At 42.0% G+C, this 17382-nt stretch overlaps 1 protein-coding gene across 3 annotated transcripts in view, besides 6 other annotated features; it reads left to right on the forward strand.

The window, feature by feature from the left end:
* TIAM2 (TIAM Rac1 associated GEF 2) overlaps window positions 1-17382 on the forward strand; it is a 262409-nt gene that overhangs the window by 166212 nt on the left and 78815 nt on the right. For all 3 annotated transcript variants that reach the window (NM_012454.4, NM_001384546.1, NM_001384547.1), the window contains 3 exons: window positions 2889-3074; window positions 3737-3883; window positions 15290-15451. In NM_012454.4, the coding sequence (NP_036586.3) occupies window positions 2889-3074; window positions 3737-3883; window positions 15290-15451 (495 nt within the window). The remainder of the gene's footprint in view (window positions 1-2888; window positions 3075-3736; window positions 3884-15289; window positions 15452-17382) is intronic.
* Window positions 9721-9780: an enhancer, noted in NCBI's record as "active region_25300". NCBI's record gives its function as "activates an Ori minimal core promoter by ATAC-STARR-seq in GM12878 lymphoblastoid cells {active_cell/tissue: GM12878}" and the evidence as "EXISTENCE:reporter gene assay evidence [ECO:0000049][PMID:35858748]".
* Window positions 9821-10240: an enhancer, noted in NCBI's record as "active region_25301". NCBI's record gives its function as "activates an Ori minimal core promoter by ATAC-STARR-seq in GM12878 lymphoblastoid cells {active_cell/tissue: GM12878}" and the evidence as "EXISTENCE:reporter gene assay evidence [ECO:0000049][PMID:35858748]".
* Window positions 10271-10330: an enhancer, noted in NCBI's record as "active region_25302". NCBI's record gives its function as "activates an Ori minimal core promoter by ATAC-STARR-seq in GM12878 lymphoblastoid cells {active_cell/tissue: GM12878}" and the evidence as "EXISTENCE:reporter gene assay evidence [ECO:0000049][PMID:35858748]".
* Window positions 13453-13512: an enhancer, noted in NCBI's record as "active region_25303". NCBI's record gives its function as "activates an Ori minimal core promoter by ATAC-STARR-seq in GM12878 lymphoblastoid cells {active_cell/tissue: GM12878}" and the evidence as "EXISTENCE:reporter gene assay evidence [ECO:0000049][PMID:35858748]".
* Window positions 15006-15135: a silencer, noted in NCBI's record as "silent region_17702". NCBI's record gives its function as "represses an Ori minimal core promoter by ATAC-STARR-seq in GM12878 lymphoblastoid cells {active_cell/tissue: GM12878}" and the evidence as "EXISTENCE:reporter gene assay evidence [ECO:0000049][PMID:35858748]".
* Window positions 16488-16690: a silencer, noted in NCBI's record as "fragment chr6:155499148-155499350 (GRCh37/hg19 assembly coordinates)". NCBI's record gives its function as "represses an EF-1alpha promoter that drives an FKBP-Casp9 reporter gene in an ReSE screen in K562 erythroleukemia cells {active_cell/tissue: K562}" and the evidence as "EXISTENCE:reporter gene assay evidence [ECO:0000049][PMID:32094911]".

Genomic DNA, 17382 nt, shown 5'->3' on the forward strand with positions numbered 1-17382 from the left:
CTGTGGTGATTGGCATAGACCTGAATTTTATTTTATTTTGTCTTTTTTTTTTTTTTTCTGAGATGGAGTCTCACTCTGTTGCCCAGGCTGGAGTGCAGTGGTGCGATCTCAGCTCACTGCAGCCTCCACCTCCGGGGTTCAAGCAATTCTCCTGCCTCAGCTTCCTGAGTAGCTGGGATTACAGGCGTGTGCCACCACACCTGGCTAATGTTTTTTTTTTTTTGTATTTTTAGTAGAGATGGGGTTTCACCATGTTGGTCAGGCTGGTCTTGAACTCCTGACCTCCAATGATCTGCCCGCATCGGCCTCCCGAAGTGCTGGGATTACAGACGTGAGCCATCACTCCCGGCCTTTTTTGTCTTTTTAATCCACCATGGATTGCATGGGCATCTTTACCTTCTGGTATCCAGTGACTCATTCATTTTCTTTTTCTTTCCTTTTTTTCTTTTTGGAGACAGTCTCGCTCTGTCACCCAGGCTGGACTGCAATGGCGTGATCTCAATTCACTGCAGCCTCCACCTCTTGGGTTCAAGAGATCCTCCCACCTCAGCCTCTCAAGTAGCTGGGACTACAGGCATGCACCACCATGCCTGGCTAATTTCTGTATTTTTTGTAGAGACAGGATTTCGCCATGTTGCCCAGGCTGGTCTCAAACTCCTGGGCTCAAGCAGTCTGCCCACCTCGGCCTCTCCAAGTGCTGGGATTACAGGCATGAGCCACTGTGCCTTGCCGACTCATTCATTTTCTTTCCTCTTATATCTTCACCCTCCATACAACCTTCAGAAAATATCTGATAAACTGTTTTACAGTGAGGCATAAATGAGTGTGATAAACTTTAATGCATTATCCAATCTAGAAATATCTACATATTATTAGAAGACAAAGGAATCCATCTATAATTGTGGACTTTCAGGAATCATCTGGAGAGAAGATGTTTGGGAAACAGAACTGAGATGATAGTTTTTACTGAACCTTAAGTAAGGTGTCAGTTTGTGCCCATCCATCACTCTGAAATCTGGAATTCTCTAATATGGCAGGACCAGGAAGAGACTTGCAGTTTCAATTTGAACTGTCTTGTTAGCGTAGAACAGGAGTCATCAGTAATAAGGCCATGCACCAGAATCCCAGAAGGTGCTCATGAAATGTAAACTTTCCTAGGCCTCAGACCTAATGGATAAAATCTTCAGGCGTAGGACCTGGGCATCTGCATTTTTAAAAGCCAACAGGTCATTCTGTCCATTCAAGGCTGATACCAGTAGGCCACCACGTTGCTAATAGGGGTATACAGGATCTTGAGTGAGGTTAAATTCTTTATGGATGTTGACATTGTTTCAATGCACCTTGGAATGTCACTGTTTTGCTGACAAATGATGATGATTAAGAAATTCTTTGTTTAGATCTTGTGACTGTTTTTCTTTCATGCAGAAAAGTTGTGCAGCGACCAACCTAAGAAATAGCTACAGAGAACTTGGAAAAGGTCTGGGGAATGCCCAGAATTTGTAATACTTGTCTATGGGGAGAGACTGGAGGGGGCAGAGTGTCCAGTGTTGGAAATCCTTCAAAGTATTATTTATCCAGAATGAAGGATTCACCTAGAAAGCTTGGTGTGAAAGGCTAGGATCTGTCTGGGTGCTCAGCAACATGGCAGAACTAGAGATGCAACTGGTGCACCTGAAATAACCTAACTCTTCACACTGCATCCTTGATTACAAGCGTTCACTTACAGACCTTCTCTTGAGTGTTGAGATTGCGCTCAACAGCTTTTGAATCACAGCTTTCTGTTCTTCTCGTTCTTCTGCTGAGTCCCTGTGTTGGCAAGTCACAAGAGCCTCTCTTCACCTATTATTAATAACTTATCTTTGCATGAAGGTAATACTTGTAGGTAATGCATTTTATATCTTTGGGAGAAAGGAGAGTGGCTCCCAGAGTTTGGCTGCATTTCTTTACCAACTCATGACTTAAGTTTTGAAGAAGTTCATAGTAACTTCTGTGGTGTAAACAGCTGCATATACTTTAATTTTATTTAGATGTACAGATGGCAGTTATTCTCCAAGATACTTACTTAGGAGTATACTCAGTAAAATTCTATTTGTCCTTATCCCTGAAGTCCATTTGCTTCTTATTGTTTTGAGTCATTTACTCAGAATGAACAGAAACATAAAGTCATTGCTTTTATTTATCTGGCATCTGTTTGTGTGCAGTTCAGTTAATCCAGTTTAGGATCAGGGACTGTAAATGTGAAGGGAAATGAAGCAAAGTGAAAAAGCTGACTTGCAAATTGCATCCTGTTTTAAGTCAGGATGGTTTAGAGTGTTGGCATTCTCCAAACAAACATCATGCCTTTTTGGCATGTCACTGTATTGGGACCACCAGCTTTTTGTTTTTGTTTTTGTTTGGCTATCCTGATGAAATGAAGTGCTGGATGACCCAGTGCATTTTGTTTTTTTTTTTGAGACGGAGTCTTGCTTGGTTGCCCAGGCTGGAGTGCAGTGGCATGATCTTGGCTCACTGCAACCTCCGCCTTCTAGGTTTAATCCATTCTCCTGCCTCAGCCTCCAGAGTAGCTGAGATTACAGGTGCCTGGCACCACACCAGCTAATTTTTGTGTTTTTTTTTTTTCTTTTTTTTAGTAGAGATGGAGTTTCACTGTGTTGGTCAGGCTGGTCTCAAATGCCTGACCTTCAGTGATCTGCCTGCCTCGCTTTCCAAAGGACCCAATGCATTTTGATGGGAGGGATTGAGATGGGGTGAGCAGGAAAGGCTAATTTAAACCATGCAGACCAGCCGAAACTAATTTTTTCTTCAAGTTTGTGAAAGGGATCACATTTTCGTTTTAACCTGTGAAAACTTTTAATTTTTATTTAAATCACCTCTGTTTTTGCTTTAAGATCCAGCAATGGGAGCAGAATCTTGAGAAATTTCACATGGATCTGTTCAGGATGCGCTGCTATCTGGCCAGCCTACAAGGTGGGGAGTTACCGAACCCAAAGAGTCTCCTTGCAGCCGCCAGCCGCCCCTCCAAGCTGGCCCTCGGCAGGCTGGGCATCTTGTCTGTTTCCTCTTTCCATGCTCTGGTAAGTTCCTGAGGAAGGCTGTTTCTGCAGCATTCGGGGAGGGCTGCGGATGCTCCCCCTTTCTTCAGCTTGTTGCCATCGGCACTTGTGGGGCTTGACCCAACAACTGACACCTAGAGGCCAGGTCACCCAGAGGCCAGGGGCCTGGAGATGAAGGAGACCAGACGTCGTGCTGTAGAGCCCCCGGTTTCTCTACTGCTTATTCTAGAGTCCAGCAGCTAGTGGACAGTTACTGCATGCTCATCTCTGCCTTTCTGTGTATTCCACCATCAGGAAAGTGGGATCCTGGAGAAGGGGCAACAGTGGTGTGAAGATTAAAGGATGGATTAAAGGTTGTTTTCTCTGTCCTGCAGAGCGCCCCATCAGGTTTTTTGAAGTCGTACCCATTTTGGTGGCTTCTGTGTGTTGTGTTGGCTCAGCCTAGGGGTCTGTAGTGGTTTTGCTGACGCTGCTGCCCACCATGGAGAGAGCTGACTGTCATGACTTGTGTTATCCAGATGAGAGTGGTCTATATGATGGATGCTTTCCTGGTATTTCAGACATGCAGGAGCTTTTGGCGATAGTCAGAATGCATTTATAGCAAGCAGAGCTCACTTCCTTCATTTTTTCTGCCACTCAAATACTAAGCCTTTAGATTTTTTTTAAACTGTGTTTTACATTAGGTATGTTCTAGAGATGACTCTGCTCTCCGGAAAAGGACACTGTCACTGACCCAGCGAGGGAGAAACAAGAAGGGAATATTTTCTTCGTTAAAAGGGCTGGACACACTGGCCAGAAAAGGCAAGGAGAAGAGACCTTCTATAACTCAGGTGAGCTTTTCAGCATGGGAACAGCAGACTAGAGTGAAATTCCTGAAACCCCTAATTTTCGGCCTGCTATGAATCATCAATGTTCATTCTCTGTTAAGAATGAAATGAGGCGAGGTGGGGTGGCTCACGCCTGTAATTCTAGCACACTGGGAGGGCAAGGCAGGAGGGCCACCTGAGCCCAGGACTTCAAGACCAGCCTGGGCAACAGAGTGAGACCCCATCTCTACAAATAGCCGAGTGTGGTGGTGTGCGCCTATAGTCCCAGCTACTCGGGAAGCTGAATTGGGAAGATCGCTTGAGCCCGGGAGGTTGAAGCTGCAGTGAGCCATGATTTTGCCACTGTACTCCAGCCTGAGTGACAGAGCGAGACCCCGTCTCAAAAATAAAAATGAAAATAAAAGTTGATTCAAAGGAATCAACTCTTAGCATGCACTTTTTTTTTTAACCCAACGAAACTGCACAAGTTGCCGTATCTATCCCGGCACCCCTGAAGAGGTAGTCACACTGCGTGCAGTGCTTAAGAACAGAAAAAATAAGAATAATCAGAAAATAATCCACACTTTTCCTTCCCTCTAGTACTAATATTTACTTTCTCATAGATTTTATATTAAAATAAATGGAAAATTAATAATCAGAGGAGTGGCAGCTCAGTTCTGTTGATAGAGCTGTGGATTTTGCTCACTAAATCCTTAGAACATGGCCTTGGGGTTTTGTCATCCCATTTTAGAGACGAGCAGACTGACACTTGAAGAGGTTACGTCACTTACCTTATCCTGTTCACCAGCACCAAAGGGCAGGGCCAGGACTAGTTTCTGCCTAAGTCCACGGTCTTGAAACACTGGAAAATTGCTAGTGCTTATTTTCCCTTGGGGAAAGGTGACTCTTGCAACACTTTCTTTTTCTTTTCTTCTCTTTTTTTTTTTTCTTTTTTTGAGATGGAGTCTTGCTCTGTCACCCAGGCTGGAATGTAGTGGTGTGATCTTGGCTCGCCGCAACCTCTGCCTCCTGGGTTCAAGTGATTATCCTGCCTCAGCCTCCTGAGTAGCTGGGACTATAGGTGCACACCACCATGCCTGGCTAATTTGTGTATTTTTAGTAGAGACAGGGTTTCACCTGTTGGCCAGGCTGGTTGTGAACTCCTGACCTCAGGTGATCCACCCACCTGGGCCTCCCAGAGTGCTGATTACAGGCGTGAGCCACCGTGCCTGGCCTCTTCTAACATTTTTATTAAGGAAAAATAGTCTAAGCACATGTTATGTGAAATGTGGCCCAAGTATCGTAAATTGTTTTCAAAACATTTTGAATATGTGTATTTCATGGTGCACCTGTATTTCATGATGCAGGTGCATGATAATGGACTTTATCTTGCTGATTGATATGTTTTAGGATTATTCTGTTTCAAAGCTGTTGAAAAAATAAGTTATATGATGACCTGATCATTCAGGTGAATAGGGAAATTGTTTGCAATTAAATCTGAAGAAGTTTTTGCTTTTATTTTCAATGAGCTGCTGTTTTTCTGATTATATTTTCAATATCATTGGAAAGAGAGTCACATTTTATTGGATCTTTGTTTTCTAATTTGTATATGGCTATTTGATAACGCTTTTGTGAATTGGGTAAGTAAAAGGGCCAGTATCAGTTCCTTTGACTTGTTTAAAACCTTAAAACAATAAAGTTAGAGGTGGTGGAGAGTGGGTTGGTAGATTAACAGACAGCAGAATCACAGGAAACTTTTCTTATGTGGCCACCATGTTTATATACTCATATACAAAAATAATATCAGATTTTAAAATTGTGGTTCTACTTGTAATTAATTTTTTTTTCTTTTTTGAGACAGAGAGTCTCTCTGTCACTCAGGCTGGAGTGCAGTGGCACGATCTTGGCTCACTGCAACCTCCACATCCTGGGTTCAAGCAATTCTCGTGCCTCAGCCTCCCAAGTAGCTGGGACTACAGGCTTGAGCCACCACACGTGGCTAATTTTTATATTTTTAGTAGAGACAGGGTTTCACCATGTTGGCCAGGCTGGTCTCAAACTTCTGGGCTCATGTGATCCACCTGCCTCTATCTCCCAAAGTACTGGGATTACAGGTGTGAGCCACTGTGACCAGCCTGTAATTTAATTTAATTTAATTGTAAAGAGTAATCTTATTTGTTGGTTGTAATGGAAATGTATTTCCTCATTATTGACTGTAGTCAACTGCAAACCCTTTGCTAATGGTGGGCCTATGCTTTCTTTATTTTTTAAAAATTGTTTTTGTAGAAATGGGGATGGGAGTGGTCTCCCTATGTTGCCCAGGCTAGTCTCAAATTTCTGGCCTCAATCCATCTTCCCACCTCAACCTCCCAAAGTCCTGGGATTACAGGTCTGAGCCATAACACCGAGCACTTATGTTTTGTGAACTGAACTTCTTTGATGGTTAACTAATGTCCTTAAGGTATTTTAATCAAGACAGTATATTCGATATAAATAATAACTTGATAAATAACTTGCTTATTTTTTCTTAGGTGTAGACATTCTGCTAATTAGATATGAGCCTAATATGGTTTTTACCCAGCATCTGTGGTAATTTGTTCTCAACATAGACTTTTTGATAAACAAAAGCATTTGGTCGAACATTTTTTGTTTTAAAAAGATATGAAACTAATTACAGTGTCAGTATTTATATAACTGAATGAAGTTGATTTAGTAGGTATTTCTAAGTGTTTATATTGTTTTTAATGTTAATTATGCCATTACAAAATTTAGAAGGTGAAATTTGGAAAAGGCAATTGTTTTTAATTCTTCTACCCAAACAAACCACTTTTAACATTTAGCTATATTTTCTTCCAAGATTTATTCTGTGCACATTAAAAAAAGTAGGTATGAGCTTGATTTTGTTGGTTCTGTTTCACACCTTCAGAAACATGTACTTTTTGGTTAAAAGCATATCAAGAATGAATTTATTTATTTATTTATTTATTTATTTGATACAGTCTCGTGCTGTTGCCCAGGCTGCAGTGCAGTGGCATGATCTCAGCTCACTGCACCCTCCGCCTCCCGGGTTCAAGTGATTCTCTGCCTCAGCCTCCTGAGTAGCTGGGACCACAGGCGGGTGCCACCACATCTGGCTAATTTTTGTATTTTTAATGGAGATGAGGTTTCACTCTTTTGGCCAGGCTGGTCTTGAACTCCTGACCTCAGGTGATCTACCCACCTCAGCCTCCCAAAGTGCTGGGATTACAGGCCGACTTAAATAATAGATGACATAAAAAAGTAAAACGTAACTATGCGGGAAATAAAAACTTTAAGTGTATTAGAATAATGATACAAATTGTGATATGAAGCTCTTCTAAAATGTTATAGAACTTTAGTTTTTAAATAATGAAAAAGGGTAGCTGGCAGATGAATATTACAGGGCCATTTCATTAGTCTTTTTCCTCCCCCATCTGTCAGATATTTGATTCAAGTGGCAGCCATGGATTTTCTGGAACTCAGCTACCTCAAAACTCCAGTAACTCCAGTGAGGTAAACTTTGCTATAGATGGCCGCCATCTTGTTTTACATGAATGACACAAATGCTAACTTTTTCTGTTTTTTTTTGTTTGTTTTTGTTTTTGTTTTTGAGACGGAGTCTGGCTCTGTTGCCCAGGCTGGAGTGCAGTGGCACGATCTTGGCTCACTGCAAGCTTCGCCTCCCGGGTTCATGCCATTCTCCTGCCTCAGCCTCCCGAGTAGCTGGGACTACAGGCGCCCGCCACCACGCCCGGCTAATTTTTTGTGTTTTTAGTAGACATGGGGTTTCACCGTGTTAGCCACGATGGTCTCGATCTCCTGACCTTGTGATCCACCCACCTCGGCCTCCCAAAGTGCTGGGATGACAGGGTGAGCCACAGCACCCGGCCACAAATGCTAACTTAAGCGAGGAATGCTGGTTCAGAATCTTTACATGAACTCCTTGAAAATAGATTTATAATTAAAATGGTCCCAGTAGGTATTCTCTAAAGAGATAGTCTTGAATGCCAAGCATTTTGGAGGTATCTAACCTCATGTTAACTCCATTTTAAAATTAGTGACATGACTAGACTGAAGTCATAATAATATCTTTGATTTATACATCTCTATTCCTCAGCAGTACTTACCTTCGTTTGAGAGTTCAGTGAATACAAAATTGCATTTTCCTCTCAGGGTTGTCAGGGATCTTCACATAGATAGTACATTCTATGCTGTGTCTCTCCAGGCGCCGTCAAGGGGAGCCTGAGTAATGTCTCCTCATCCCTAGAATTGCTTCTGACCAAACAAATCCTCAGAATGATTTCTGAATGAAATCCTAGAGCATGAAATCCCAGATGTGCCTATGCCTCTTCCTAGTGCCTTTTTCAAACCCACAACATCCCCATGAAGCTGTGTTATTTAATTTCTCCTCCACCAAATAATTTTTTTTTTTTCAGATGGAGTCTCACTCTGTTGCCCAGGCTGGAGTGCAGTGGCGTGATCTCGGCTCACTGAAACCTCTGCCTCCCAGGTTGAAGCAGTTCTTCTGCCTCAGCCTCCTGAGTAGCTGGGATTACAGGCACCTGCCACCAAGGCTGGCTAATTTTTGTATTTTTAGTAGAGATGGGGTTTCACTATGTTGGCCAGGCTGGTCTTGAACTCCTGACGTCGCGATCCACCCACCTCAGTCTCCCAAAGTGCCGAGATTACAGGCGTGAGCCACTGCACCCAGCCAGTTCTTACTCTGCACTTACCATCTCTTACTGTTAGCCACTCTGTCAAGTGCGTATGTCATGGCTCCCAGGAAAGCTTGTAATCGATATAGTTTATATATGCCCTATTTCTATTAGATGTAGTCATTTAATGGCTGAGGATGACTGATTTGTAATAAAGGCCCATAATTTTAGGGTCCTATCTCTTCCAGCATTATATAACAATGTAAAATTCTTACTTTGAAAGTTAAGAGGCCTGGCATGGTGGCTCGTGCCTGTAATCCCAGAATTTTGGGAGGCTGAGTCAGGTGGATCATTTGAGACTAGCCTGGGCAACATGGTGAAACCCTGTCTCTATCAAAAATGCAAAAAATTATCCGAGTGTAGTGGCTTGCTCCTCGGAGGCTGAGGTGGGAGGATTGCTTGAGCCTGGGAGGCAGAGGTTGCAGTGAGCCAAGATCGCACCACTGCACTCTGACCTGGGTGGCAGAGTAAGACCCCATCCCTGAAAAAAGAAAGTTATGAAACTATAGCATCAGTACACTTCCTATTAACAGAGTTTATGTTGGACTTTGAAAATAAATTTTGCTGATGTAGCCACTTACAGTGAGAATTTAAGCTTAGTGCTTAAGATGGGCTCAAATCAACAGGTCCCATCGATGCTCTAAGGAGTGAGAAGAAACTATGATTTCTGCATTTGTTTTACTCCTATTTGTTTTAGCTAAGCATTACTTGTGATGTAGGGATACTGAAGAAATTCCTTTCATTTATAGGACAATTTTAATGCAGCCTCTGTAATTTCTGTGCTATCGTACCCAGATAACTAGATTCAGATAGAATGGCAGATAGAACTAAGGGTGTAATTTGTTTTTTTATATCTCTGGGACTTAAAATTCTGCCTGAGCTGGCTAAATAATTAATATTTCATTTTGCTACTTTTCATCTGCTAATCATTCTTGGAGAATACTTGTAACCTGCACAAACCTATTTTTATACAATAAGTACATTACGCCCATTTCTATAACACAGAAAGGCTGTTGTGAGGGAGGGGCCGTGTGCATTTTAAACTATTTCACTCTAATTGATGCATCATATAACAGCCCAACAGTGAGTCACCCTAATTCAAAATCTGTTAAGTCTGGAATAAAGCCAGTCTTACTTGAACATTTTTTTAGAGGACACTTTGGCTTGCCAAAAATGAAAGCTTTTCATAACGAACGTCTGGATGAGTAATAGTGAGTCTTACACGGCCTTTGAAGGGAGGTGTTTGTCATGGAGATTGTGACAACAAAGTCCCCACTAAGGCTCAGATGGCGGCAACCCCAGAAGCTTCATTGCAGAAATTGTGACAGCCCCTGGGCCTTGGCCCCTTCTTCTGGAAAATTGGCTTGGGGTATTCCAACTTTCTGTGGCAGTGAGTGAATGCAGTATTGTCATCTTAGTCATGAGCTGTAAACTGAAAAAAAAACCTAAAAAACCCCAAAAAACCCCAAAACCAAAACAAACCCCCTAATATTGTTTTCTTAAATGGAAAATATGAATGAAACAGCTTACTCTTCACCACAGTATGGTAATCTGTTTAGAGAGAATATTAATACACAACCCTACATAGCATATATATATGCATACAGCTAGCGAGCTAGCTAGATCCATCTTTGTTTTTCTTTCATATCAACCGATGTGTGGGCCTCAGTCCAAGAAGGAAATAAACACTTTCTCTTCTATGACATTTTACTGTTGTTAAGAAAACTGGGAGCGTGCAACTCCCTTTTGTGTTTTCTCCTCATCTCCCTTGCAAATAGACTTTCCTTTTATCAGCCACTGTGGTGGTTTGGGCCCATTTGTGACAGCCAGATTGTGATTTTGCTACTCACTTCCCTTCAGTGATCCAAGTAGTAATTACAAGCCATTTGATCCAAAAGCATCTGCTGTGAGAACACACGGAGTTTCAATTTTTTCTCCTTGCTGCATACTGAGCATAAGTAATTTGACATGTGGTTTCAGGACCATTGATGTAATAATAATAATAATAAATACTTCTGTGGAATGCCCTCCAAGGAGAGCTAAAGTGATTTGCAGACGTTCACTAGTCAGTCTGGAGTGACTGTGGCTGCAGCCCAGTGATGTTCCCGTGTCGTGATGGCCAGTTGGAGCTGACTGCAAGGTGATCTGAGCAGCAGTGGCCAGAACAGTGGCCCAGGGCTTTGGAACAAAGGATGATTCTCAGGAAGTTCTTTATAGTGGCCATCGCTGAAATGCAGTAGCTACTCCCAGTACAGTATAATGCCCTGATCCAGCCTCAGCTTCCAAAAAAAATCTTTACAATTTATGTCTTTCAAATGCAATTCCTCCCATCAGTCTCCTAACCACCCCACGAGGCTGGCGTTTTTAACCTCTTTTGAAGGTGAAGGAACAGAAGTGCAGAGGCACTAGATAACAGCCCCTAACAAGGCTGAGATTTGACCTGGATTGCCTTGCTATTATTGTATTTTTTCTGTCTCCATTTGCATTCTCAGGACCAGGAAACCTTGAAGAGGCTAGTTGGAAATATATATATATATATATATATATATATATATATATATATATATATTTTTTTTTTTTTTTTTTTTTTTTTTCTTTGATGGGAGGAAGTAGAGTAGGAGGCGTGGTAGGTGCGTAACAGTCCTGGCAAAGGTAGCCAACCGTGGAATTCTGGGTGGTTAAAAAGGTTAATTTAACATAGCAGCATCTTTGACATGGGTAACCTGGAAAAAGAGTTTTCCAGATGGCTCCATTTTTAATGCTTATTTTTAGGATTCTCTCTTCTTTTTATGAAAAGAATATTGGAGAATATTTCATCTGGCTTCCTGAAACTAAAGCATGTGTATTTTCAACTTGGATAGCATTGACCTTCCTTCAGAGAATTAATCCAACTTTCCCTCCAAATGGGCAAAGCTTACAACAACCTAAGAGATCTGTAAGCACCAAGTAGCTTTTTCTTTTTCTAGTTTTAATAAATTAATTTTAAATTCTTGGTGCTTCCTTTGAATAACCAGGTTTTACTTTTCTTGAACTGTATACATTTGTGAGGGTTGTGTGTGTGTGTGTGTGTGTGTGTGTGTGTGTCTGTCTGTCTGTCTGCCTAACACACACCAAAAATTACATTTAACTTTTCATTGAGGGACTCTCTTGAGAGGGTCTTACTCTTTGATGGCCTTGGCTTTGATAGGCGTCTTCTCTTCTATGGTTCACTAGATCTTGGGTCAACAGTGTAGACTCAGAAAACCATTGCTCAGAGCAGTTGTAGCACAGCACCTTGTTTAATGGATTTTAATAGGATTATTTCTTTTGTCCTTCCATCCTTCCATCTATCTGCACACTTTTCTCTTGTCCAGAACTTATTCTCCTTCAATAATCTGTTAATTTTTCTTCTCGAAGCTTCCAGAGAGCATTAAGAACTTGACACTATGTCAACAGATTTGAGTAAGATACTGAAAACGGACAGCGTTTACCCTTCTGCCTGTAATATGACTGTGAATTTCTAGTTGTATCCAGCTCAGCACTGAAGTTTTGGGTGTGTCCTGGGTGTGGGACGCACTGTGTTAATGGCTGAGGGAGAATGAGGATGCAGAAGACAAAGCCTCTGCTGGTATTCATCTTCTCCTGGTGCGGGACTTAGAAGTGACTCTCCTGTGAGCTGGGCTTTGCCAAATGCTGTACCAGGGACATAGGAGAGTAAACTCATCTAAGTGAGAGGACTTGAGGGCAGAGAAAGGAGAGATAGGAGAGAATTCATAAGACAGGGGCATTTTAAACCAGGTTGGAGGGTATATATGGTTTCAGCACTGACTCTACTTGTAAGGACGGTACAGCAGAGAGAGGAGATGGAAGTGAGCACCGGTGTGGAGCAGGAGCATGCCACTCCCTTCTGGGGAATGTTCCCTGAGCCATTCTGTTCAATGGGAACATGGTGTGTGGCTTAGAATAATGGAAAGTAATCAGGAGATTTGGGTTGCACCCATTTTATATAAAGGGAGTTAACTGCCAGGCGGGCATTCTGTGTAGTATAGTGGTGGTGTGAACCAGCTCATCCCAGACTTCCACCCTTCAGATCCCCGGAGTACCATAGGCACTAGTTGTGTAAACTTGGGCAAGTTTCTAGAATTTCCTGAGCCATATTTTTCTTGCCTTTTCCATAGGAAGTGATGATGGTGCCTTCCTGAGAGGGCTGGCTGTGAGTGGTGAGTGAACTGATGGCACATCAGGAGCTTGTTTCATTTGGTCTCACGAGATGCAGTCTTTTTTTTTTTTTGAGATGGAGCCTCCCTCTGTCGCCCAGGCTGGAGTGCAGTGGCACGATCTTGGCTCACTGCAACCTCTGCCTCCCAGGTTCAAGCTGTTCTCCTGCCTCAGCCTCCTGAGTAGCTGGGGCTACAGACGCGTGCCACCATGCCCGGATAATTTTTATTTTTAGTAGAGATAGGGTTTTACCATGTTGGCCAGGCTGGTCTTGAACTCATGACCTTAGGTGATCCACTGGCCTCGGCCTCCCAAAGTGCTGGAATTACAGACGTGAGCCATGGCGCCCGGCCAAGTGATACAGTCTTTCTCTGATTGTCAGTAACGGTGAGAACAAGAGGGTGTGAAGGCACAGTGTTAATTTGTACTGCTCATGTTCCTCCCACACCTGTTTATCCATAATTACGTTCTTCCTGATCTCCAAAAGTGCAGCAGTAAATTAATTGCTCTGTCACCCTCAGTGGGAGCCTGTGACTTCCTCCGGGCCTTGTTCTTTGTGATGTTTCTTACTCCACAGTGACCTCTGCTGGGTTTTAGTTTGCTTCTCAACAAGCCTGGTTTCAGAGGTGGGGCCTGCACCTTTAAGGCAGCATCTGTTTGTTGCTAAGCACCGGGTTGAAATCACTGCCCAGATGAAAAGTACCCGAGAGAATGAACCAGGGAAAAAAATGTGCCTGTGTAAGACAAGAGCCTTTAGCAGAGAGTGTCCGGGCTGGTTCCTGGCATCCCTGGCTCCTTGCATCTGGTCCTGTCTTTTCCTTTGGCATTGGCACGTGTGGGGATGTGCATTCTGGCTGTGATCATCCTTCCAGAAAAATGTACTGAAAGCGACAGATCCAAGACAAATCCAGAAATGTCACTTCAAAATTGAGCACCATGTTTTCAAAAAGATGGCACAGAGAGACAGATTTTTCCCTTGCTTTCTTCTTTTAAATTTCTTTACGATGTCTCTTCTAGTTTTTAAATCCTGCATAGGAGGATCTTTTACTTTGTATTTAAAAATGCATGGAATTCAAAGTAAAATCACCCATTAATGATAACTTTAAAGTATGATGAATGATATATAATAATGTGATAGTATTGAATCTACAGGTGACATTTTCTGGTATGTAAGGTGTTTCACATAAGTGACCTCTTTTGCTCACAAAAACTTAAGTAACAAGTAATTTTTTCAATATGAATTATATTAATAATATCCTCTTTTACAAAACAGGAGCTGAATCGTACGTAGCAAGGTAAATCTTGTCCTAGGCCACACTTTGCTGGTAGAGTCTGTGACTTTTGATTTCGAAGCCCCAAATCTTTTCTTTACTGCTATGTGAATATAAGAACCTACCCAGAGAGAAACATGTCTACATCGCTTAAGAAATGTATGCTATTTTTGTTATGAATTACAAAAGGACGTATTAGCATGAAGTCAGCAATTGTTGTGATGATGTAGTTGGCACACTACACTTTTTTGGGAAAGGCTTCCTGAAGGTGGTATTCTTTGAGATGATTTTCCAACAGTGTCTATGTGTGAGATAGCTGAAGGATAGAGAAAAGATTTCCCAGGACTATGGGTTAATTTTAAGGAACAAATAGATTTCTGTCAGTGATGAGTCAGGCTAAAATTAAAAAGAAGAAACAAAGACAAAAACACAGATAGTCTTAGAAGAGAAAGCTTGTGCTGGATTAAGTGCAGTTCAGAGTCAGGATGGCAGGCAGATGTCAGTGACCATGGACAAGGTGTGTCTGGAATTCAGTGGGAGGTCAGAGAGGGATTATGGCTGAGATGCAGGCTTCACAGTGGCCCTTCTCAACCATGATCCCAGAGCAGTAAGCGTGGATACTCAGCAGCCCTTACATGGATTGCGGTGTTCTTTTTTTATTTTTTGAGACAGACTCTTACTCTGTTGCCCAGGCTGGAGTGCAGTGGCATGATCTTGGCTCACTGCAACCTCTGCCTCCCAGGTTCAAGCGATTCTTCTGCCTCAGCTTCCCAAGTAGCTGGGACTACAGGCGCACGTCAGCACACCTGGCTAATTTTTGTATTTTTAGTAGAGACGCTGTTTCACCATGTTGGCCAGGCTGGTCTCGAACTCCTGACCTCAGGTGATCCACCCGCCTTGGCCTCCCAAAGTGCTGGGATTACAGGCGTGAGCCACCGTTCCCAGCCGGATTGTGGTGTTCTAACTTGGCATAAGCGGTCAATTGACACAGTGGAAAGAACACAGGACAGGCAGTCACTAACTTTCACTCTGCTTCCCATGGCTGCAGTTTCATCTGATAAAATGAGTGAGGAAACGTTGTCAGCCTCAGAGGGCTGTGAGAAGCCAGTGATGTGAAGCGTGTGAGCGTTTACTCTAAATACTCCGTAAATGAACAGGACATTTGGCCGGTGGTTTCCTTCATTTGTTAATCAAATTTGTCTGCATTTTCTTTTGGCATCTACAAACAGGTCGATGAACTTCTGCATATATATGGTTCAACAGTAGACGGTGTTCCCCGAGACAATGCATGGGAAATCCAGACTTATGTCCACTTTCAGGACAATCACGGAGTTACTGTAGGGATCAAGCCAGAGCACAGAGTAGAAGATATTTTGACTTTGGCATGCAAGGTAACGGATTTTGCTGCAGAAATATATTTCTGAATAGAAATAATCATTAATGTTGCAATCTTATGCCTTCTAAATTCATGTGATATTCAAGGGCCCAGTTTCCATGCCAGGGAACATATTAGCATATTTATTAGTTAATATATTTATTAGCATATTCATTAATTTGCATTCTATTCCTTGATCTCTTTAGAAGAATGAGTTATTAGGTCATGATCCCACACTTCCATGAAGAACCTGAGCTAATCTACTGAAATTCTATGTATACTTTGATATCTAGAATAATTATGAAATCCGTTGCTATTTAAGTTACTTAGAGATGGTGTGTTATAAGAAGGCGGCATAAACTTTGAGGTAATTTAATTTAATCCTAAATAGTTTTATCGGATTTCTCCAGATTAAACACGAAACTTGATATATTCACAGTTGCTTTATGGAGATTAATATAAGATGATGTTTTATTCATTTTTCAAACTGGGTTTCATTCCTGATCTGAGAAGGGAGTTTATGGTAAGTCTTAAAGAGAGCCCTCTGAGAGAGAATATATTCAGCAACATCAGATCAGAAGCTTTTAGACCACCAGGTGGTGCAGTAGAGCTTAAATAGTTTTAAGTTTCCAGAGAAAATACAATCAACTATGTTGAAATGGTGAAAAAGGCATATAGAGTTTGGCAACACTTAATCATGTGCACTTAATAAATGTGAAAAATGTTTAATTTTAGTCCCCCTTTTTCACTTTGACTTGAAACATTAGGATTCTCTACATTTATATGTAGTTTATATCCTTAGGAACTTAATTTCCTTTTGCTCCCATATGTAACGTTTTTATTCAGAAAACCAACAATGTTCTATACCAATGATATCCTCCATTAAACTGATAATTTTCTGAGTAATAAAGGGTATCAGAAGTAGTGGGTCAGCTGGGAGCAGTGGCTCATGCCTGTAATCCCAGCACTTGGGGAGGCCGAGGAGGTCAGGAGATCGAGACCATCCTGGCTAACACGGTGAAACCCCGTCTCTACTAAAAATACAAAAAATTAGCTGGGTGTGGTGGCGGGCGCCTGTAGTCCCAGCTACTCGGGAGGCAGAGGCAGGAGAATGGCGTCAACCTGGGAGGTGGAGCTTGCCTTAAGCCGAGATGGCTCCACTGCACCCCAGCCTGGGCGACAGAGCAAGACTCCGTCTCAAATTAAAAAAAAAAAAAAAAAAAAAAAGATGTAGTGGGTCAATTTGACCCAGTTAGAGCATAGGCCTGAGATAAATTTCTCACTGTTGAAAATATGCATGCGAGAGAAAATATGAGTGTGTGTGCGTACACATTTTCGTTTTGAAAGTTTTTGGAGTAGGACATTCTTAAGTCTGTAGATTTGTTAACATTTTACAAATTTCTGTACTTTAGTAATGAGAAACAAGGTTAGGCTTAACCTAACTAAAGAGATGGCATTTGCTGAGCTGATAAGATTTATTTTACTGTCAGATATGTTCTACCGTAATCTCTTAAAAATGCATCTCTTGCCTTTAATCATAAGCAATATTGTTCAGCGAAAACCTTCTTAAAAATAATTGTCCTCCTTTACTTTTTTGCATACAAGTATTTATTTATTTATTTATTTATTTGAGTTGGAGTCTTGCTGTTATCACCCAGACTGGAGTGCAGTGGTGCTACCTCAGCTCACTGCAACCTCCACCTCCTGGGTTCAATCGATTCTCCTGCCTCAGCCTCCCGAGTAGCTAGTATTATAGGTGTGTGCCACTACACCTGGCTAATTTTTGTATTTTTACTATAGTCGATGTTTTGCTGTATTGGCTAGGCTGGTCTCCAACTCCTGACCTCAAGTGATCCACCCGCCTTGGCCTCCCAAAGTGCTGGGATTACAGGTGTGAGCCGCTGCCCCTGGCCTGCATACAAGTATTTAAATTCGAGCTCTTATATA

Source organism: Homo sapiens, chromosome 6, assembly GCF_000001405.40.
Source record: "Homo sapiens chromosome 6, GRCh38.p14 Primary Assembly".
NCBI lineage: Eukaryota > Metazoa > Chordata > Mammalia > Primates > Hominidae > Homo > Homo sapiens.